The 24,027-nt window shown below is 42.3% G+C and overlaps 1 pseudogene across 2 annotated transcripts in view; it reads right to left on the bottom strand.

The window, feature by feature from the left end:
• Positions 1–8,831: 8,831 nt before the first annotated feature.
• Positions 8,832–24,027, bottom strand: part of RPL23AP82 (ribosomal protein L23a pseudogene 82) — a 42,552-nt pseudogene continuing 27,356 nt past the window's right edge. For both annotated transcript variants that reach the window (NR_026981.1, NR_026982.1), the window contains 2 exons: positions 23,176–23,296; positions 8,832–9,814 (listed from right to left, as the gene is read on the bottom strand). The product of NR_026981.1 is annotated as a ribosomal protein L23a pseudogene 82, transcript variant 1 (transcript). The remainder of the gene's footprint in view (positions 9,815–23,175; positions 23,297–24,027) is intronic.

Below are 24,027 nucleotides of genomic sequence, written 5' to 3'. Positions count from 1 at the left end.
TAACCCTAACCCTAACCCTAACCCTAACCCTAACCCTAACCCTAACCCTAACCCTAACCCTAACCCTAACCCTAACCCTAACCCCAACCCTAACCTAACCCTAACCCTAACCCTAAGCCTAAGCCTACCCTAACCCTAAGCCTAACCCTAACCCTAACCCTAACCCTAACCCTAACCCTAACCCCTAACCCCTAACCCCTAACCCTAACCCAACCCGAACCCGAACCCGAACCCGAACCCGAACCCGAACCCGAACCCGAACCCGAACCCGAACCCGAACCCTAACCCTAACCCTAACCCACCCTCACCCTCACCCTCACCCTCACCCTAACCCGAACCCTAACCCTAACCCTAACCCTAACCCTAAGCCTAACCCTAACCCTAACCCTAACCCTAACCCTAACCCTAACCCTAACCCTAACCCTAACCCTAACCCTAACCCGAACCCTAACCCTAACCCTAACCCTAACCCTAACCCTAACCCTAACCCTAACCCTAACCCTAACCCTAACCCTAACCCTAACCCTAACCCTAACCCTAACCCTAACCCTAACCCTAACCCTAAACCCTAACCCTAACGCTAACCCTAACCCCGAAACAGAACCCGAAGCAGAACCCTAACCCCTAACCCCGAACCCTAACCCAAACCAGAACCCTAACCCTCACCCTCACCCTCACCCTCCATGAGTAATATGTCTGTTATATTTTGGGTGTCATGTGTGCATTAGGAATGCTGCATTTGAGTTGCGACGCTGCAGTTGAACCCTGCAATACAGCCCCTCGCCTTGCCTTGGGAGAATCTCGGTGCGCAGGATTCAGAGAGGCTTTTCGTTTCCCGCTTTCCACACTAAACCATTCTAACTGGTCTGTGACCTTGATTATTCAGGGCAGCAACCGGGAAAGATTTTATTCACCGTCCATGCAGCCCCGAGTTGTCCCAAAGCCATGCAGTACCCCCAACGTCTGTGCTGAGAAGAATGCTGCTCCGCCTTTACGGTACCCCCCAGGTCTGTGCTGAACAGAACACAGCTCCGCCCTCGCAGTGCCCTCAGCCCGCCCGCCCAGGTCTGACCTGAGAAGAACTCTGCTCCGCCTTCGCAATACCCCCGAAGTCTGTGCAGAGAAGAACGCAGCTCCGCCCTGGCGATGCTCTCCGGGTGTGTGCTAAAGAGAACGCAACTCCGCCCTCGCAAAGGCGGCGCGCCGGCGCAGGCGCAGAGAGGCGCGGCGCGCCGGCGCAGGCGCAGAGAGGCGCGGCGCTGTTGGGGAGACGCGGCGCAGGGCATAGACGCACGCCGGCACCTCCCCGGAGGGGAGGGGTCGCTGGGCGGGCGGGAGTGAGGCGCGGCGCAGGCGCAGAGACGCACGTCGCTCGGTTGAGGGTGGCGGGGAGTGTTGCAGTCGCACAGTCGCGCGCCGCCGGGCGGGGAGCGCGGGGGTGGCGCGGTGCACGCGCAGAGACACACGTCCCCGGCGGCGCAGAGACACACGTCCCCGGCGGCGCAGAGACGAGTGGAACCTGAGTAATCTGAAAAGCCCGTTTTGGGCGCCCCCTGCGTGCAGCCGGGCACTACAGGACCAGCTTGCCCACGGTGCTCTACCATTGCGCCCCCTACTGGCGACTAGGACAACTGCAGGGCCCTCTTGTTTACAGTGGTGTCCACCGCCCCCTGCTAGCGCCGGGGCACGGCAGGGCTCTCTTGCTCGCAGTATAGTGGTGGCACGCCGCCTGCTGGCAGCTAGGGACATTGCAGAGCCCTCTTCCTCACATTGTAGTGGCAGCACACCCGCCTGCTGGCAGCTGGGCACAGTGCCGGGCCCTCTTGCTGGCATTGTCGTGGCTGCACGCCACATGCAGGCACATGGGGACTACGCAGGGCCCTCTTGCTCCCGGTGTGACGGCTGCCGTCCCCTACTGGCCACCTCCTGCACCACTTAAAGTCAGAGCGCCAGTTATTAATCCCCATCAGTTCTGTAAATTAAAACTGAAAAGGAGCTATTACTGCGGAGAGCTGATGTCCCAGTTATTAACTTGGAAGACAGCTTTTCACCAAGAGGCAGTACAAAGATGGAAGATAACTTCATTGAAAAGAAATACAGAGTAAAGAGCTTATAGTACAAAAATAGGGAGGAGTAGGCTGATAGTGCATGAAAACAGCCTAAGAGTCCTGTGCAGGGATTTTTATTTTGGACTTCTTCACATTCCTGCCTCTGTCTCAAGTCTCCGCCTGTTTTCTTTCGTTTTCCTGCTACTGCCATAGGTCCCCGACTTGCCCCACTTAGCCTTGTGGGACCTCCTCACTGTTGATTGAGGTACATGTGTGGTGATCAATCCGAATCCACTCTGGCACCAGCCTCCTTCCCGCCATACCAGGCAGGCTGACAGCGGTCACGTTTGTATCTACTGCAGCTGCCTCTTTTGAATGTCTTTCTCTGCCCTAATCTGTACTTATGGTGCCAGGTTTCTCTTAAAAATGTCCCCTTTGTCCTTCTTATCAGCATGTAGCTAGCAATATTCTGACATTTTTATTGCAGAGTGAATGATGATTGGGGCATCTTTTTTTTTTTTTTTTTTTTGAGACGGAGTCTCGCTCTGTCGCCCAGGCCGGACTGCGGACTGCAGTGGCGCAATCTCGGCTCAATGCAAGCTCCACTTCCCGGGTTCACGCCATTCTCCTGCCTCAGCCTCCCGAAGAGCTGGGACTACAGGCGCCCGCCACCGTGCCCGGCTAATTTTTTGTATTTTTAGTAGAGACGGGGTTTCACCTTGTTAGCCAGGATGGTCTCGATCTCCTGACCTCATGATCCACCCGCCTCGGCCTCCCAAAGTGCTGGGATTACAGGCGTGAGCCACCGCGCCCATCCGATTGGGGCACCTTAAGAGAAGTTCTAGGGTGTTTCTGCGTAGGTACCTCTTCTCCCTCCTAACCACAATTGACAAGTGCCCATCCACTCCAGCACTAGAGATGCTACTAATATGTGCATTTTTGGTGGTCCCTCCAGGTGAGCCTTCACAGACTTTCCCTTTTCCAGGAGCTCCCCCTCCTGTTCATGTCTAGCTAGCTATCTACTCTAACAGAGCCCACTATCCTGTGTCTTTCCCAAAAATAGTGAGGGAATGATTAATTGGAAACCATAAGAAATGATATGCATGTAGATGAAAACTTTACAACTTACACAAATAATCACTCAAAATCATCCTTACACTAAAAATGCAAAACTATACAATTTCTAGAAGAAACTATAGAGGAAAAGCTGTGTGCCTTTGCGTTTGGTAATGAATTTTAACAAATGACACAGAAGGTTGATATACACAGAAGAAATGACAATGTGGATTTCTTAATATTTACAGTTTATACTCTGGAAGAGACCTTGTCAAGAGAACAAAAAGACAAGCCACATATTGAAGAAAATATTTGCAAAATACAGATCTGAGAATTTGTATTCAAAATATATAAAAAATTGTTAAAACTAAATAAGTTAAACAACCCAATTAAAAATGCACACAGATCTGAACAGACACTTCACCAAAGAAGATCTACAGATGGCAAGTACACTTACAAAAAGATGCTCAACATACTAGAGAACTGAAAACCACATAAAGATAGCACAGCTGGTCTATATCTCTTAGAACTGCTAAGCTCTTTAACAAATGACAAATTGCTGGAGGAAAAACAAGAACTCTTTTCATTGCCAGTGGAACACAGTGTATAAGGCCAAACTATGCCACCCCAAAATATAATGGTAGGAAACCAGAATATGCAACCCCAAAATATGTCCCTTTGGCTTAAGAATTATTCCAAGCTAATTATTTTGAAAAAAAAAAATGCTAACAAAGGAAGTTGTGAAAATAGAGTAGAAGTTACTTGTGTAAGGAAAATTTACATCTATAAAGGAAATCACCATTTAAAAGCTACCTCTCTCGACACCAAGAAGAGAAGGATAACTAAATCACTGAAGAGTCTTATCAATGGAGAATGCATGGACTTAAGTCTGTATAACGAACCTTACCCTTGTCTAATGTGCTTTTGCTGGTTAACTCCCCACTACTGCACCTCAAATCTTCTTTCTTTAAGTTGAAGATAGTATTTATGCTTGAATTGAAAGCCACCTGTTGGAGATTTACTCATTTTTCCCTGAGTATCTCCCATGTAACCATAAGATATACATGTTTTTAAACTTTTCTCTTTTTCTCATTTTAATCTGTCAGTTTTTACAGAGCGTTCCATCTAAGAATTCCAAAAACAGAAAATTATTTTTCCTCCCCTATTACAAGTTGGTCATTTTTTTCCAAAGCTAAACAAGTCTCACCTTACAATCCAAAAATAACATTCCTAGGTATTTTGACAACTACTTTGATGTTATTTCCCATCAAAAGCTACCATGCAGTTATTTACAGAAGCCCTATTCATAATGACCAAAGGAAAAAAAAGGAATCAGAAAGTCTTACAATAGATGACTGTGTGGGAATCCACTCAGACATCAAAAGTTGTTATAAAGATTATTTAAATGAAAACATTTGAGATACTGAAGATGAAGAAATCTTACCAGAACTTACTTTATCCAATTAAAGCACAGCTCCCAGAAAAATACAGCTGCCATTAACCCCATCCAAGGAGTTTCTTGCAAATTCAGCTGCCATGAAGACAGCGTACTCTTTCCCATTAGCATTGATAAATGAAAATTAAATTCTAAGCTCCCAACTGACTGAACAGACCCACTCTTGGCTGAGGGGACCCCAGAGTAACTTTCAAAACTGAGTTCTCAGCTTTGCTAGGATGGGATGATGGGGTTAAGATACACATCGTTATACCCCCTCCTTTGCTAACCATGATGAGGCTTTCTTCCCTAAGGATTTAACAGAAACCAGCCCTTTCAAAGCCTCCACCACTGATATCAACCTCTCCTTTCTTGCCTGATAAGAGACCACCCACGATGGAGAGGTTCTGGCCAGCGTACAGAGGATGCACAGAGCGAGTTTTCATGTCCTCTGCTTCACCTTTTAATGTCAGAGGGCTGAAAACTCCACCCTGGGATCATGCTAACACTGCCATTTTTTGTACATGGGACCCATGAAGAAGCAAGAAACTCAATTGTGCGTGCATGCATTTCTCCTTCCATAAATATTCATGACTCCTCCTAGAGCTTATTAAATAAATCTATTTGGCCATTCCACTCAGCATAAGTTGCTATTTCCTTTACCTCCTCCTTGAAGCATCTGTTTCTGGCTTCTGGCTGGAGGCTATGCTTCCCAGCCTGTCAGAAGGACAACCCTGCAGGCTACAACCCTTTATAGAAAATAAATCTCTCACTGGGTGGGTGGCTCATGCCTGTAATCCCAGCACTTTGGGAGGCCGAGGTGGGTGGATCACCTGAGGTCAGGAGTTTCAGACCAGCCTGGCCAACATGATGAAATCCTGTCTCTACCAAAACTGCAAAAAATTAGCCAGGTGTGGTGGTGGGCATCTGTAATCCCAGCTAATCAGGAGGCTGAGGCAGGAGAATCGCTTGAACCCAGGAGGTGGAGGTTGCAGTGAACCAAGATCACGCCATTGCACTCCAGCCTGGGCAACAAGAGTGAAACTCTGTCTCAAAAAAAATAAAAATAAGCATAAAAATGAAGAAATGTCTCCTTTCCAAATTTATGAACCTCATCATTCTTCCGTTCACAGCATTAAAAGGTTCAAAAAGACCTTTCCATACTCTCCCACAGAAGCCCTAGAAATTGTCATTTTGTTCATCATTCTGGATGCCTGAGAACTTGTAATCCAATGAGTAGAAAGTTTGGTACCCCATTTATGGCTGTCAACCTGCCAGTTCTCAGGAGTTTGTATAAAAGCCTAAATCCGAAAGGATCTCATCCCATTAGGACCCTTGTCTCCTTTTCTGTTGCCTTTGCCCACTGGCTCTGGCAACAGGGGTCTTTCTTTCTCCTTGGCTATCTTTGGATATGGGGGCTCCGTCTTCTGTGCCACCTTAGGGAATGCCTTTTGCAGGCATGGCTAACTCATTAAAAAGCCTACAGTTTCAGTAACATTTTGAGTGAGCACTCTCTGAAGCTGCGTTGGAATCTCAGGCTTCTTTGTCTGGAAGATAACTCTTGGGCTACAAGTTTCTTATCCTACCTTTGGTTTTGAGGCCTCTCTGTTCTCCTCTTGGGTTGGAAGTTATTCCTGGCTTTTTGTTTCAAGGTGTCTGTGATCTTGATCTTGCTGCTTTCATGGGAACTTCTCACTTCACTAAATTCTCCCTTCTCAAACCTCTGCTGACTATGTGTTCCACCAATATGGAACTAATTCTACTTCTTTTCCTGTTTGCATGACTTTACTAAGAATTATTTACAACTTTAATGGCTCCTTTGAGAAAATTTTTATCTTCCAAATTGCCTCCTTTTAGACCTTTCCTTTCCCAGTTGAGTCTCTCAACTCCCTATAATCACTGAAACTTCAGGCACCCCACTCCATGCCTTGGAGGCTCTCAATGTGCTCAAGAATCTGCAAAAGCAAACACCTGGGGCTGAAGAATAAAATAGAAAAAAAATTATTTCTCAGCCTCCATAAGATTCTATGTCAAAAAAAAAGAAAATCTTTAAAATCTCCAAAAATATTGGTGAGAAAAAAGCCTTAGCCCTCATATGAAGAAGAAAAAACTTGTTCCATTTTCCAGATACATAGTTATAATACAAATATAAAATGGGGCAAAGACAAAAACCAAGTCTTCTATATAAACTAGTGAATTGTGTAGTTATTGTAATCACATTAGTCAGGGGTCTCCAGAAAGGCAGAATCAATAGGATATATGTAGACAGATGACAGAAGATTCATTAGGGGAACTGGTTCACATAATTATGGAGGCTGAGAAGTTCCACAATAGCCTGTCTCCAAGTTGGAGAACCAGGAAAGCTGGTAGCATGGCTCACTCCAGATACAAAGGACTCAGAATCGGGGAAGCCAATGGTGTAACTCTGATTGTGAGGCCAAAGGTCTGAGACCCTGAAGTTCTGATGTCAAGGGCAGGAGAAGAAGGATGTTTCCATTTCAGAAGGAGATAATTCACCTTTCCTCTTCCTTGTTATTCTATCTGGGCTCTCAACCAATTGGATGCTGCCTGTATTCATCCATTTTTATACAGCTATGAAGAAATACCTGAGTCTGAGCAATTTATAAAGAACAAAGGGGTTTAATGGGCTGACAGTTCCACATGGCTGCAGGGGCCTCACAATCATGGCAGAAGGGGAAGCAAAGCTGTCCCTCTTCACATGGCAGCAACAAGAAGTGCTGACCCAAAGGGGAAAAGCCCCTTATAAAACCATCAGATCATGAGAACTCACTCACTGTCATGAGAACAGCATGGCGGTAACCACCACCATGATTCAGTCACCTCCCATTGGGTCCCTCCCACGACATGTAGGTATTACAGGAACTACAATTCAAGATGAGATCTGGGTGGGGACACAGCCAAACCATATCAGTGCCCATCCACATTGGGTCATGGTTATCTCAGTGTCTTCCAGAAACACCCTCATAGATATGCCCAGAAATCGTGTTTGACCAGCTGTGTGTGTCTCTCAATCCAGTCAAGTAGACGTCTACGATTAACCATCAGAATATTTATGCCTGATTCATGGCTGAAATCGTGTTTGACCAGCTATGTGTGTCTCTCAATCCAGTCAAGTAGATGTCTACGATTAACCATCAGAATATTTATGCCTGATTCATGGCTGAAATCGTGTTTGACCAGCTATGTGTGTCTCTCAATCCAGTCAAGTAGATGTCTACGATTAACCATCAGAATATTTATGCCTGATTCATGGCTGAAATCGTGTTTGACCAGCTATGTGTGTCTCTCAATCCAGTCAAGTAGATGTCTACGATTAACCATCAGAATATTTATGCCTGATTCATGGCTGAAATCGTGTTTGACCAGCTATGTGTGTCTCTCAATCCAGTTAAGTAGATGTCTACGATTAACCATCAGAATATTTATGCCTGATTCATGGCTGAAATCGTGTTTGACCAGCTATGTGTGTCTCTCAATCCAGTCAAGTAGACGTCTACGATTAACCGTCAGAATATTTATGCCTGATTCATGGCTGAAATCGTGTTTGACCAGCTATGTGTGTCCCTTAATCCAGTCAAGTTGATGTCTAAAATTAACCGTCAGAATATTTATGCCTGATTCATGGCTGAAATCGTGTTTGACCAGCTATGTGTGTCTCTCAATCCACTCAAGTAGATGTCTAAAATTAACCGTCAGAATATTTATGCCTGATTCATGGCTGAAATTGTTTGACCAGCTATGTGTGTCTCTCAATCCACTCAAGTAGATGTCTAAAATTAACCATCAGAATATTTATGCCTGATTCATGGCTGAAATTGTGTTTGACCAGCTATGTGTGTCTCTCAATCCACTCAAGTAGATGTCTAAAATTAACCATCAGAATATTTATGCCTGATTCATGGCTGAAATCGTGTTTGACCAGCTATGTGTGTCTCTCAATCCGATCAAGTAGATGTCTAAAATTAACCGTCAGAATATTTATGGCTGATTCATGGCTGAAATCATGTTTGACCAGCTATGTGTGTCTCTTAATCCAGTCAAGTAGATGTCTAAAATTAACCGTCAGAATATTTATGCCTGATTCATGTCAGAAATCATGTTTGACCAGCTATGTGTGTCTCTTAATCCAGTCAAGTAGATGTCTAAAATTAACCATCAGAATATTTATGCCTGATTCATGGCTGAAATCGTGTTTGACCAGCTATGCGTGTCTCTCAATCCGATCAAGTAGATGTCTGAAATTAACCATCAGAATATTTATGCCTGATTCATGGCTGAAATTTCAGGATGAAAGCTATGAAATCTCTATTTGTGTTTGTGTATCTATTAATGTATGTTATGTATATGTGATATTTTCTTAACTCCAGAGAGCATTGCAAAATTCATTTATGAAATCCTCTAAAAGTGCTCTATTCTAACTTGGCTTGGAAAAAAATAAGCATTTATAAATAAATATTCACCAAACTCCTAGAAATATAGGAACTGATCAAATGTTTCTTAAGTTAACATGATTTGGATAAAACTTAGTTAAATAAGATTAATATAGTATTTTTGGTGTAATAAAACAACTATATCTTCAAAATTATCATTATTGAATATAAAACAAGCATAAATTCCTATTCTGCTTGAGTTCTAGTCAAATAAGCTAATATTATACTTACTAGAAACGTAAAATCTTAAAGCTTATAGATTTGATTCTAATTAAGTTGTCATTCTTATGAAAAACATTATTTTTTTATGCTGAAAAGATACACATATATTTAGAGTTAGCCAGCTGGACTCAGTTTAGGTGATCCCAATTTTGTTACAACATCGAAAGCATCATAATCAGGAGCAAGTCGAACATATGCCTTGTTCTCCTTATCAGGACAAATCAGGGTGGTGACCTTGGCCACATCACTGTCATAGAGCTTCTTCACAGCCTGTCTGATCTGGTGCTTGTTGGCTTTAACATCCACAGTGAACACAAGCGTGTTGTTTTCTTCTATCTTCTTCACGGCCGACTCAGTGGCCAGCGGAAACTTGATGATAGCATAGTGGCCAAGCTTGTTTCTCCTGGGGGTGCTCTTCCGAGGATATCTGGGCTGCCTCCGGAGTCGCAGTGTCTTGGGCCGCCTGAAGGTGAGTGACATGCGGATCTTCTTTTTTGCGTGTGGCTGCGGACACCTTTCAACACTGCCTTCTTGGCCTTTAAAGCCTTCGCTTTGGCTTCGGCTTTAGGATGAGCAGGAGCTTCCTTCGCTTTTGGTGCCATCTTGTGAAAAGCGAAAAACATTATTTCAAAAATAATTTGTTTACAGTAAATCTGCCTAAGAATAGTTTCCAAAGTATTTTTGGTAATTTTTAACCTTAAAGTTAAGCTAAGTAAAAGATTTGCATTAAATATCTAGACCATTTATAAATAAGATACAATACTAAAACATTAATTACTGAACATAAATAATTCAAGTTTATATACTTTTGGCTTCCTATTTTTACAGAGAGACTAAAGATATTTTGGCCCGTTAATAAACATGTTTTTTTCTGCCACACTGAGGAATTGTATTATGAGGAAACACATCCCTCTAGATGTTGGGAGATGGTATACTCATACATTTTCTAACCTACTATAGAATGCTAATATATGACAGTTTATAACTGTCTACTTCCTAGTTTTCTCTGGAAAATAAAAGATTACTAAGTATTAAAATTATAATCAATATATGTAAATAAAACTACTAGAAATAATAGAATAACTAGAAACAACTCTATGCAAAGCATGCAAGAAAAGTAGGGCATGTTTCGCAAGTAAAGTAGGTTGCATTTTTTATAAGGAAAACCATACAGAAGATACAAATAAAAAGAGATACCTAACCTTCCCTGTGTTATATTTGTATGGGTAAAATGTTATGTTTTCAGAAATTATATAAAATTCCTGGAAGTTTGTCAATGTCCTCCTTATCCATGCTATGTGCCACTATAGAGTAATGAGTCATAATTCCAATTATTACTTTAAATGTTGTGCCAGGCACAGTGGCTCATGCCTATAATCCCAGCACTTTAGGAGGCTGAGGCGGGTGGATCACAAGGTCAGGAGATCCAGACCATCCTGGCTAACCCGGTGAATCTCCATCTCTATTAAAAATATAAAAAATTAGCTGGGCGTGATGGCAGGCACCTGTAGTCCCAGCTACTCGGGAGGCTGAGGCAGGAGAATGGCGTGAACCCAAGAGACAGAGCTTGCAGTGAGCCCAGATCGCACCGCTGCACTCCAGCCTGGGCGACAGAGCAAGACTCTGTCTCTAAATAAATAAATAAATAAATGTTGTCTGCCACAGAAAAAATCGAATATCCTTGTCAGTTGTGGTATAATGAACTCTCATCAGATCTTTCATCACAGCCATTTCATACTTTTTGTCATTTAGATATTATTTCCCCCTGATACTTTCCTGAAAGCTCCTGCAATCAACTACAGGTCAGAATGTTCGTCTCCAAGACAGGACTCCCTCTGAGACTCACAGAAAAGACTATGACAGGTACTCTGGTTATAGGCTTCTGATGATATTGCTTAAATAACTTTAAGACCATACACTTGACTCAGTTAAGGTCTCCAGAAGTCCGGTTGGGAAACTGATGGGTTCATGACACTGCTAACTCAAGATCCACAAGACTGGAATTGATTACATGGCACTGAATGAACTGATGAAAATTGATTATAATTGTATAGCTTTTTGGAGCATTGCTGGTTAATATTCTAGTTTCTGGATTTAAGAAATCTCTTTCTCTTACTCTAACTGTAACTTACAACAATTTAGTAGATTATACTTTTGTAAACAGAAATGAAGCATTTATCTTTTTTTCTTGCCTGATTTTTCCAGAATTTTGAAATCCTTACTGAATACTCTTATTTCCACGATGATATAGTTGTTAGCAAAAGTCCAATAACAATCTATTCACCTTATAACAGGACATAATTGGAAATTTTGGTTATATTATCAAGGTTTTTACTGGAACATCATATTTAGGAAGTGTACCTAAGATCAGTTATGACCAGCAATTTTAAGGAAGTAAGGTTGACTTTTATGGAGACAATGCTTACAAAGCACTGTGGAAAACTTTGAGGAAAGTTCTTCCTCAAAGATTATAAAGTCACAACTACCCACTATTTTTATGTGTGTGTGTGTGTGTGTGTGTGTGTGTGTGTGTGTGTGTGTTCCAAATCACTTGTCCTAGCTTGCTCCAGCATGCCTGGACAGAACTAGACAAGCCCCAGCCCATAGTGCATGCCATTCCTTATTTGGAGATGCTTCCTTAACTATCCCTGGGCAACTTCCTTTTCTTTCTTTCTTCTATTCCCCTTACCTAATTAAGAAAGTTTTAAACAAACAGCCAATCGGGTAAAGTGTAAAATGGGAGGTCCTATTCCAGCCAATGGAAACTGGACACAGCAGTAGGGTAGACACGTCAGGTTATAAGTAACTCTGTCTCCTTTGTTTGGTGTGCTCTTGTAGCTGGACAGCTATTGAGTAGCACCCTTTGTGCAGAAAAATAAAGCTCACCTTGCTAAGAGATCATTTGTTCCCATGTTAGTTCTTTTTTTTGGGGGGGGGGGGGGGACATAAAAAACTTCATTCCCAACAGCACTCTGAGAAAACCCAGCCTGATACCTAGATTACAGGGTTCACAGCCTTATAGGTTAGTAAGCAAGGTCATTTCCTGGTAGGCCCAGGAATTTAGGGATATTTTGGGGCCTCAAGAAGAGAAGAATTCACACAAAGCTATAAGGACTGCAGCTGAAATTTGATAGTATGTTCTTGGCTTGGCTTTTAGCCTGAATAAGGCTAAATAAAAATAAGTCAAATCTGAGATTCTGTATGAAAACTTCCAGCAAAGAAACCTGAAAGCACCTATGTGGTCATCTCCTGTTCTTGCTGCACTTACGTAAATAATCAAGCAAAATCTAACAAAACTAGACTTATTTTTAAAACAAGAATAGTCTTACTTTGATTATGATCAAAAATGATGGTTACTACAGAGAGAAATTTTATCTTTCAAAGGAAAAGTATAACACAGCCGGGCATGGTGGCACATGCCTATAATTACAGCCCTTTGGAAGGCCAGGAGTTCAACATCAGCCTGGGCGACATGGTGAAACCCCATCTCTACCAAAAATACAAAAATTAGATGGGCATGACGGCATGTGCCTGTAGTCCCAGGTAATCAGGAGGCTGAGGAGGGAGGAACGTTTGCACCCAGGAGGTAGAGGTTGCAGTGAGCTGAGACTGCACCTTTGCACTCCAGCCTGGGCGACAGAGCCAGACCCTGTCTCGAAAAAAATTTTTTTAAAGGAAAACTATAGCCATTGTGAGTTATCAGATTCTAGTCTTGTTTCTTGTTTCTGGGCTATTTTTACCTCTTTTTAAACTGGATCCTGCCATCTGATGAATTTTGTCCCACAATGATACTTGGGGAACAAGAAGCCAAGTATTGTCTCTCCTACTAATGTATCTATTGTCAGTTAATTTGAAGGTCTCCAACCCTGGAACAAAGTTAGAAGAGGTAGGTTCTGCTCCCCAAAATGCATAACCAAATTGTGCTACATTCATGTAATGGAATACTATTTAGCCATAGAAAGGAACAAGATATCAACACACACAAAGACATGAGTGAATCTTGCATGCACATTGCTAAGTGGAAGAAGACAGTCTGAGGAGGATACACACAGTGTGACCTCATTTAATGAGACACTGGAGAAGGCAAACTACACAGATGGGAAGCCATTGGCTCCATGGGGTGGGGGTTTGAGGCATTCCATATGATACTTTAATAGTGGGATATCTGCCACAATGCATTTGTCGAAATATGCAGAATTTTACAGCCAAATGGTTAAAGCAAACTCTATTCAAATTAAATCCAATTACTCAGGATGTGGAGTATCCCAGGACAGAATACATCATGTGAAAAAGAATTTATGCTACAAATTACTATGGTTTGGATGTGGTTTGTCCCCACAAAAACTCATGTTGAAATTTGACTCCCACTGCGTCAGTGTGGGGCGGTGGGGCCTAGTGGACGGTGTTTGGGTCGTGGGGATGGATCCCTCATGAATAGATTAATGTCCTCCATGGGGGTGAGTGAGTTCTGTTCTCACAGGAATAGATAATTCCTGCAGGAGCAGGTAATTAAAAAGAGCCTGGCTTCCTTGGCTTCCCTCTTGCTTTCACTTCTGCTGTGTGATCGCTGGTGCACCCCTTGCTCCCCTTCCACTTTCCACCATGAGGTGAAAAAGACTGAGGCCCCGCCAGATGCAACTGCCCAATCTCAGACATTCCAGCCACCAGTATTGTGAACCAAATGAAACTGTTTTACTTATAAATTACGCAGCCTCAGGTATTCTGTTACAGAAGCACAAAATGGACTGAGACACAAATCTAGGTAAAAACTTTGAAAATGAATAGAATCTGTAGGCTGAAGGCACATGAACTATACTTCATTATTGGATTCCATTTTATAAAGTTCTTTCCAACAGAAGCAATTGTGAACAATTGTAAAACCACAGTGTCTGTATCTGGAATAAAACAATGACTTACATAAGTCGCAGATGGTGGGAACCAGGTTTCTTACTGTTGAAGTGGGAGGTTACAAATTAGCAAGGCGAGAAGGCTAGAATGATTCATGTGATAGTAGATCAGAGGTGGAGACATCAATGTAAACTTATGTTTAGTTTAATATAGACACACACAGTTCTACATAGAAAACTTTATAATTAGGTGTGTATAGGTAGGTTAGACACACACATATACTTCCTAGCATTGCCAATGAGGGAGAAGATACAATGTGCTCATTCAGCAGCCAGATGTAAGTTTTCCTACCATTCTGAAAGGAATCAGGCTCTTTGAAGAAATGTCTGATACTAGAACTGGGACAGTAAATATAGGAGCCAAGATAATCTGGAAGTATCAGAAAGTAAGTACTAAAAAAATTAAAACATATCAAAGAAAAATAAGAGCCAATAAAAACAGCTACTGATGGCCAACACAGGAATGAATTGTGCAACATAATACTGTAGTGTTGAATAATAACTAAAGCTTAAAGTAATTATCTAGGTGTCTGTATTTGTATACCTAGGTGAATAAGCAAATGGAGTTGCATAGAAATCTCCTTTGCAAAAGAATTCCAAATAATTGATGTAGACACTCAGCCGTCAAGAAGGTGGAGCCAACTCCTTACGGAGTGAGGCTCTGCATAGTGACTTGCTCCAAAAGAACACATGCAGTACGGACAAGGAGGAGAAATAACCTCACAGTGGAGAAACCTGACAAACATTAGCTCTGCCAAATGATCCAAGTGAACATCAAAGGTGACAGTTCACCTTGAGAACATGAAGTGACAATGGGGGACATTCTACAACATTCCTGACCAATCCTCCTCAGTGCTATGAAGGTCATCATGAGATGGAAAGCCTGACACACTGTCACAGCCAGGAAGAGCCCACGTGATGTCTACATGTCATGCGGGATCCTGGATGGGATCCTGGGTCAGAGTAAGATAGAACTAAGGGAATCCAAATGAAATATGAACTTCAGTTAATAATAGTCTATCAGTATTGGTTCATTAACTGTGACAAATTATGTAAGATATTAATAAGCCATGTGAGACACACTGATAGGAGATGTTAATAAGAGAGGAAACTAGGTTGCAGCTACATGGGAAATCTCTGCTTTTTTTTGACAATTTCTGTGTAAGTAAAAAAGATGATGTAAAATAAAACTTTATTTAAAACACTGTTTTTTTTGAACACTTCCTTGTTTAATTATTTATACCATGAATTACTAGTAATTGACACTGTTAACTAGTCCTGTTTTTTTAAATAAGAGTATTTATGACCCAAAAAATTAAACAGTGCAGACTGATACATAAATCAAATGTTCTTTACATGTTTTCTGTTGCAGTAGTAACACACATGTGTAAACTTAATTATCACGTTTTTCTTCTGCTGTGGTTGTGTCCTGAGTTCATTCTCTAAAATGCTGTTCACCTTAGACCAGGAAAAATATTAACCATACAGACTCTGTTTTAATTCATAGCTAAATATTTTCAAAAGAGTGACTTTGTAAAAATATGTTCCAATGGCAAATTGATTCATTGTGATGGGATCACTTATTCCAAAGACTTCCTGTCTTTATTTTGTTGCCATGCCTACCTTTTAGCCATGATACAACAGAATCAAATATTGGCCACTGGGAAAAAATATTCAAAGCAAGAAAGAATGTGAACAGAACTTATGACCATGATGATTCAATGTTTTACCACAATGCTTTCTAAAACAGAAGAGTGTAAAAGGATATTCAAAGTCAATTTCCTCAGCGAGGCTTTGCAGAAAATGAGGAAACTACAGAAACAAAAATGGCAGGACATTCTACGGGTGATTTTAAATGTTGCTATGTTTTATGGGAAAAAAATACTTTACCTTTTAAAGAATCACAAAGAATTATTGGAAACCCAAACTCTGGAATGTTTGCAAATTTAGTTGAGCTTCTATGTAATTATGTCTATATAGGTAGCCAGGAAGTTGATGATTTTTTAAAAATCTGTGCCTTATTTGTGTGATAAAATACACAATGAATAATTAATGCTCATAGGAAAACCTTATGAAGGGAAAATAAATCTTGGGGAATCAAAATCACTAAGCTAAAGGGAAAAGTCAAGCTGGGAACTGCTTAGGGCAAACCCGCCTCCCATTGTATCCAAAGTCACCCATCTGCTCACCGAGATAAATGCATACCTGATTGCCTCATTTGGAGAGGGTAATCAGCAATGCAAAAGAATGAAACCATTTGTCTCTTACCTACCTCTGACCTGGAAGCCCCCTGTCTGGCCTTCTCACCTTTCTGGACTGAACCAATGTACATCTTACACGTATTGATTGATGTCTCATGTCTCCCTAAAGTGTATAAAACCAAGCTGTGCCCCGACCACCTTGGGCCCATGTTGTCAGGACCTCCTGGGGAGGCATCACGGGCGCACATCCTCAAGATTGGCAAAATAAACTTTCTAAAAAATCTGAGAGCTGTCTCAGATTTTCAGGGTTCACACATGTAATGTAGGATGTCAATGTTTATAAAACAGACATTATTCTATCTACTATTAGAAATATGCTGCCAATTAACCTTACACTTTCTCAACAAAATAAAAAATGTTGATGAGGTACAAATAATATATCTAAGCTTAGTGTTACAAGTTTTAATATGCCTACTTTTCAATTTTTCAATACTATTTTTACTAATTTAACACTTTAAGTGAATAACTAAAACATGAATAAGTGTTTACAAGGGGTGCACATGTTTCCTCCAGCCTCTGCCTATCCCCAGCTTTCATCCCAACTGTCTTGATGGTGGCTCTAAGCATTTCTCCTTTCTCTATGCCAAGATCTCTCCCAGAAACAAACCCAAATCTTACTATATGTTATGGCACGCTATGATGATGAGCAGCGATGAGCAGCCGAAGCCTCAAGGAAGGGATGCTTTTGTAAAACAAGACTCGTAGAATATAACGTGTGAAAGTAAAGCACATGGCAGAGCTCCCTCCTCAGCACACGGGGAGCAGACAGGAAGCTTTTGCCTCACCTTCCTCAATGGCCTGCAGCCACGTCTCCCAGGTCAGTCTTAAGGACAATGAAACTCTGGTCTTCACTGTGGACACGCCACACTACCAGGTGCTCCAAAGCCATGGTGACCCACCCTCGGGTGGGTCCTGAGAACAAAGCTCTGGTTCTAATCCTAACCCTAACCCTGTCCCAAGACTTTGAGCCTGAAGCTAAATCCTGATCCCTACCCTGGTCCTTAATTCTGACCCTTACTTTGACCCTGACTTTGATCTTGACCCTGACCATGACCCCACCTCTAACCATACTTCCGGCCCTGACTCTGACCCAGATCCTAATCCTATGCCTAACCCTATTATTATCTTTACAATCTATCTCTACTCTTACCCTCTAGTGCTAAATAGCTGTACCCAAAAGCACTTTTAAATTATTTCTTTTCTTGAATTCTCTATGGACATCCTAAAGGAGATGTCAATATGTATTGCATTCCCTCTGAGTGGTATGGCTTCAGATATGAAGTTCTAATACTTTGCAAGACATAAAAAGTTTGGAGGGTAACAGCACTGGGTTGTTAGGGATGTATGTTGGCATTCATGATAGTCATTGGTGCTGTTCTCCAAATATTTTCAGTTCATTTTTTATGAATGCATTCTGACTGTTCCATCCCACCTACTTAAATTTTCCCATGGCCACATGACTTTTTTTTTTTTTTTTTTTTTTGCCGATGGAGGTGAGAAGAAATAACATGTGACTTTTTCAGGAGAAATCTCCAAGAAACAGCGTTCTATTCCGCATGCTTTTTTCTCTTTTCTATAGCAATGGGGATCTTGACGGTCCCTCCTTCCTTCTGGATTCCTGTGTTAGGATGACACAGCACAGAGCTACCTCTCACCTGACCAGTCATGAGATGTAAATAAATGAGGAAGAAGATTTTTGAGCCACTGAAATTTGGAGGTTGTTTGTCACCACAGTTTAAGCTAGCCCCCACTGACTGATGCACGGCTGAAGAATGAGTCCGAACTGGCTCTGGACAAGACATGTGAAGAGCGCTCCAGGCTGAGTAAAATTCAAGGGTTGCCTCAAAGATAACAGTGAGCACGATATGTTATTGGGGTGGGTGTGGGATAAATAAGGTACATCAGGTGAGAATAACAAGAAACTCAACTTTAAAAGACGGCGCTGATTTGCACTGTGGAGAGATTCAAATGCCCTGCTTAGCATTTGAGATTGTGATGGATGAACAAACTAATTAAGAGCCCAAAATGAAAGCTGGGGATAAATATCTGAAGGTGTCTAATATCCCAGTTTTTCATCCTAGAATGGGCAGAGTCCTTGACCCCATTCTAGGGAGACTTCCAAAAGAAAAAAGACCTGCATTTCTTCAACAACCCACACTGAGAGACTTTCCTGCACTTTTGTGACCTGTGGCTAACACTCCTCACCTTTCATTCTGTCATCAGTGTTTTGGGGAAGCACCTTTAACTCTCTGTGATTTACAGGTTATTAAGTGGCCCTTACAATTCGCTCCAGAGATGGAAAAGACATGATGATGGTGCCTGAGCTCACAGCAGCAAGCAGGCGTGTGTGCTCAGCAGCCACGTGGCTCATCTGCTAGGAGCTTGCTAAACACGATGTTCTACAACATTGCTTAACGCAAGGGGAGACGCTCCTGACTCAGAGGGTTTAATTGCTCACCTACTTCTTTTTCTGCCCTCTTGGGCTTCTGAAATGAAAAGAACCCTGGGGTGATACAGTGAGTCAAAGGGGTGCCAGCCGCATCACAGCATAATAGATTCCTAAAAAATCCCTGGCCTAATATGACAGCCTTGGCTGGATCAGTTTGAATGTGCTGATAGTGGACACGGTAGAATGAAGCTGGTTGAAATGTTCATATTAAAGAACTTCTACCCAGATTGCAAGAAAAGAGAGAGGAATGGAGATGGCAGCACGAGTCCCTACAATAAAAGCAGATGTTTTGAGATCAGTTATATTTCTTCTGACAAAAATTAAAGACAGAAACCAAAGTTTAGCCTGAGTCTACAATTAATTGGGCAATAAGCCAGAGGCACATATGGCATAGACAGATTTAAACATTTCTCCCTTATATTAATACAAACACTAAAATTACAAATACATGGATTCCAAATAAAACAAATATTTTAAAAATTTAATGAATAAACACTGGGGTCTACAGTAGTATTTGAAGGAGATCTCACAAACAGGTTTGGTTTTTGAAGGTTAGAACTGGTGGTCTAGAGAATTCATTTCATTCCAGAGAAATAAAGAGAGGAATTTCTTGGGTTCCTTCAGGAATGCATCTAGCTTTGCCTCATCTTTGTTTGAACTATGGATACGGCAGAAGAAAACATGAGGATTTCACAGATTTAAGGTGCAAAAAGTCACTGGGTTCTCTAAGAAGTCTGGGATTCTTCTGCTGGAAAAATAAGTTTGTTGAGAAAAAATGAGTTGGAGGAGGCTGTTATTGAAGTGAAGCAGAATTGTTTTTACTAATCTGCTTATTACCCACTCTGTAGTGTGGAAACAAATTATTCATGCACAAGGTCCTCTTACTGTTCCTAGAATGCAGTGGAAAGAGAACAGATTAGTTTTCCTCCCTCAGAACACAACCCCTAGAAACATCCTACCTCAGATGAGATATTGCCTAATTATTTTCAAAAGACAGTAAAACATCATGGATGTAAATGTTTGCTGCAAAATAAATATGTGCTAGAAACAGAAGCATCTGGGTCACAGCTATATTAGAGCTACCTGTGTTCCCCTGTCACTGACATTAAAACAAAAATGTCCAATACGATCCTTCACAGCGTGGGAGAGGGGAAGATGAAGGATGGAAAGGCCAGGCATAAAAGGATTTCAGAATTTCCGTCCATAAGGAAGTGGCTTTGCGCACTGTCTGTTACTGCGTGCAAGGTGAAATTTGAAGAATGAAAACGTGCAGTAACAAGGGCTCCTTTGTCCAACTCACCTCTCCAGATACCAAGTTTCAGACATGTTGCATTTTAATTGAAAGGTTGATATAATTTTTTTTAAAGAACACTTGCGGTGTTTGAAGTGACAAAGGCTGCTGTGACCAAAAAGCAGGGAAAGGGAATTTTTTTTTAAAAAAGCAAACAACAACAACAAAAACCCCACAGAAAAGCAAACAACAAACAAACAAAAAACAGAGGAAGAAGTCAAACACCCTGGGCTGTGACTACTTCCAGGAAGGGGCTACAAGAGGCAGTTGGAAATTCTATTTGCTTTGCAACTGTGGGTTTTCTGGCCTGCTTCCTTTCTAAAGTATATTACTCTGCTTTTGGTTCATGAAGTTATCCATTTCTGTTTTCTGGAACAGCTATGTATTTTCTTTATCTATCATCTATCTATCTGTTTACCATCTATCTTTTCTGCCTTTCGCTATCAAGAGCTTGGGTCAAGCAGGATAGAATTCCAGTGTATGTTCACTCTACCATTTAAAACAAGAGCTCTTGTAGGCATTCTCCATCACATCATAAACCTGAGCTTTCTAAAACAGAGTGTGGCAAACTACCATGCATGGACCATGTCTGACACAGTCTGCGTTTGTAAGTAAAGTTGTAATGGGACACAGCCAATACATGTGTTACATAATGTCTCTGGCTACTTTCATGGTATAATGGAAGAGCTGAGTCATTGAGAGAGAGACCATATGGCTTGGAAAACTTGAAATATTTAACATTTAGCCCCTTGCAGAAAATATTTGCTGACTCTTGTTTTAAAAGATCTCTGTTTAGAATGCTACCTATTGCCTTCTGGATAGAATCACAACTCTTTACCACAATCGACACAGCTTCAGCCCTGCTTCTATATCCAGCCTCATCTATTTCTGCTCCTCCTCCTTATTTTCCTTCTGGACATGCTGATGGATTGTCAGCTTCCCAGATGTGCGAGAATCTCTCCTCCCTTCCCAACATTCTCACAATCTCCCTCTGCCTCTCAAGAACTTCCTGTCCCATCTCTCATGACAAATCCTTTCTTCATTCTTTAAGATGCAGCCCCTTGGCTCTTTCCTTAAGGATGTCTGTCTGGCTCTATTTTGGGTGACGTGCTCCTTCTGCATCTCCCAGAGCCAGCCGGTGTGTGTCAGCTACAACATTTCTTTGCATCTCTGTGTCATATATCACCAAATCTGCCTAAGCTTGCATGAGTCACCGCATGACAACTTCAGACTCCACCAGCATTGTCCCCACTAACCACAAGGCTTAGACATTCGTCCAGTATGCTCGGGGTTGTGGGGTGGTAGCAGTAACCAGCTGGTGACCATCATTTCTTACATCAGAATCAAATCTGTAGATCTCTGCCATTCATAAGTATTTGGAGTTTAAAATTAGCATAAAGATTTTCCTTAAAATAAGAACAAATGGCTTGAGTAGGCTTTTGGAACGTAGGATGTTTCCACTGGTTCATGTCTGTGTTCAGTATTCCCACATGAATCTAAACACGACTCTGCTCTTAGTAGCTGTGTGACCCTGGGACAGTCACTCAGTCTCCCTCAGCTAAATTTTGTTGTGTGAGTAATGAGGAGAGAGTTGTGATTTGTATTTAGTGAATAATAACAAACAAAAGGCATTTAGCTTTCTGGAACCTGGTATGTAGTAGAACCTCATGAAAATACTAGCTCTGTTGATAAAACTAGACTGAAAAAAGCTTTCAAAGTCAACAACAGTATGAGGCAGTGAAGGACGTAGAGGAGAAGCTGCTGCTGCAGCCTGTAGCTCCTGCAAGCCCGTTTTGTCCATGATTTAGCAGGAACGCATTACCTTTCCATGAGGACACTGCCCACAGAAACCAAGGCCATTCTTTGAAGACAAACATGTCTTAATAGCCTTTACATTATGTAATAGTGTAATACAAATAATAATTTATTATTAGTAATAATGTGAAATTATTTACAGTACCATAACCCTAACCATAACCCCTAATCCTAACCCTAACCCTAACCCTAACCCCTAACCCCTAACCCTAACCAACCCCTAACCCCAACCCCTAACCCTAAACCCTAACCCTAAACCCTAACCCTAACCCCTGACCTTGACCCTAACCCTAACCCCTAACCATGACTCTGACCCTGACCCTAACCCTGACCCTACCCTAACCCTAACCCCTAACCCTCACCCCCCACCCTCACCATCACCCTAACCCAACCCTAACCCAACGACTGTAAGCCGTTTACAGGAAACTCAAGCCAAAACACTACTTGTTTCCAACGTTTTGTTTGCAGAGGATTTACAAATTACACTCCAAAACAAGATAGCCACAGAGCATACTACTTCTCCTCTGAAGTCGCTCTGAGGGCCTCCGCATCAGTCCTAGAATTGGAAGATTGGTGGACAAGAACTGGGATGTTGATGGGGCACTGAATATTTGCTGGACACCAACCTCCTGTTACCTAACCTTACAGAGGGCCCAGATCTCACCTGCCCAAATCAGACATTTTAACACACACACCTCTCAACAGCAGGACTTACAGACACAAAACTCTGAGGTAAAGGATTGTCTCAACTCCCTGGTGTCTCAACGAACTAAAACACTGCCTAGCGCAGGTGCACCATCAACCTTATTCACTAAATACACCTCTGTATATATTCTTCATCTTTGATTGTGGAAATGATATAATCAACATAAAAATGTTTTATAGATTGGACTAAAGACCTTTGAGGTCTCTTCACAGGATCCTATCTGGCGGACCCCCAAATCTGCCAACACAGAGGTCATCCGTAAACACGTGCAGGACAGAGGCCAGACAAAACCATCTCTCTCAGCCTCAAAGTGGCCTGGCAGTCACATGTGGGGTCTGGCCTGTATGAGGAAGTCAGGCTTTCGGCTCCAGGCACCCTACTGCACCGCAAAACCAAGTTCTGCCTAAGAAACAAAAAACAGCCTGCTCACTCTCCCTAATATCCCAGGTGGTAACCTAAGAGCATTATCTGCTAGACACCCCTCCTCCTCCACCCTCCATGTCCAAGCTATCACCAAGGTCCTAGCAATCTTACCTCCTAAATGTCTCCCAAATCCACTTCTCTCCCTTCACTGTCCAGGCCACCAGCATGACTTCTGCATGTGTGTAGCAGCCTCCGCGCAGGACGTAAAGATGCAAATCTAGTCGTAGGCTCTCTGAAAGGAAAATTTTGGGGACCCAAAATTACTAAGCTAAAGGAAAAGTCAAGCTGGGAACTGCTCAGGGCAAACCTGCCTCCCTTTCTATTCCAAGTCACCTATCTCCTCACTAAGATAGGTGCATATCTGATTCCCTGCTTTGGAGAGGCTAATCAGAAACTCAAAACAATGCAACCTTTGTCTCTCACCTACCTGTGACCTTGGAAGCCCCCTCCCTGCTTCCAGTTGTCCCCAGCTTTCTGGATGGAAGCAACGTACTTCTTACATATATTGATTGATGTCTCATGTCTCCCTAAAACCAAGCTGTGCCCTGACCACCTTGGGCACATGTCGTCAAGACCTCCTGAGGCTGTGTCACGGGTGCACCTCTTTCTAAATTACCTGAAACCATCTCAGATAGGGTTCACACATCCCTTTCCCAAACCCTCCCAGGAGCCCCTCGTGGGCGCCCAGGTCCTGCGTGCTGTTGTGGCCCAGGCTCACCTGGAGCAACTCGACTCTTCGTTACAGCCTCGTGAACCTTTCAGTTCCTAAAGCTGTCTAGCCTGTGAAAGGAAAATGAATCTGGGGGCCCCAAAATCACTAAGCTAAAGGGAAAAAAGCTGGGAACTGCTTAGGGCAAACCTGCCTCCCCATCTATTCAAAGTCACCCCTCTGCTCACTGAGATAGGTTAATATGTGATAGCCTCCTTTGCGGAGGCTATTCAGAAACCCGAAAGAATACAACA

The sequence above is a fragment of the Homo sapiens genome, chromosome 22 (assembly GCF_000001405.40).
Source record: "Homo sapiens chromosome 22, GRCh38.p14 Primary Assembly".
Classification (NCBI taxonomy): domain Eukaryota; kingdom Metazoa; phylum Chordata; class Mammalia; order Primates; family Hominidae; genus Homo; species Homo sapiens.
This window is presented reverse-complemented; position numbering and strand designations above follow the sequence as displayed.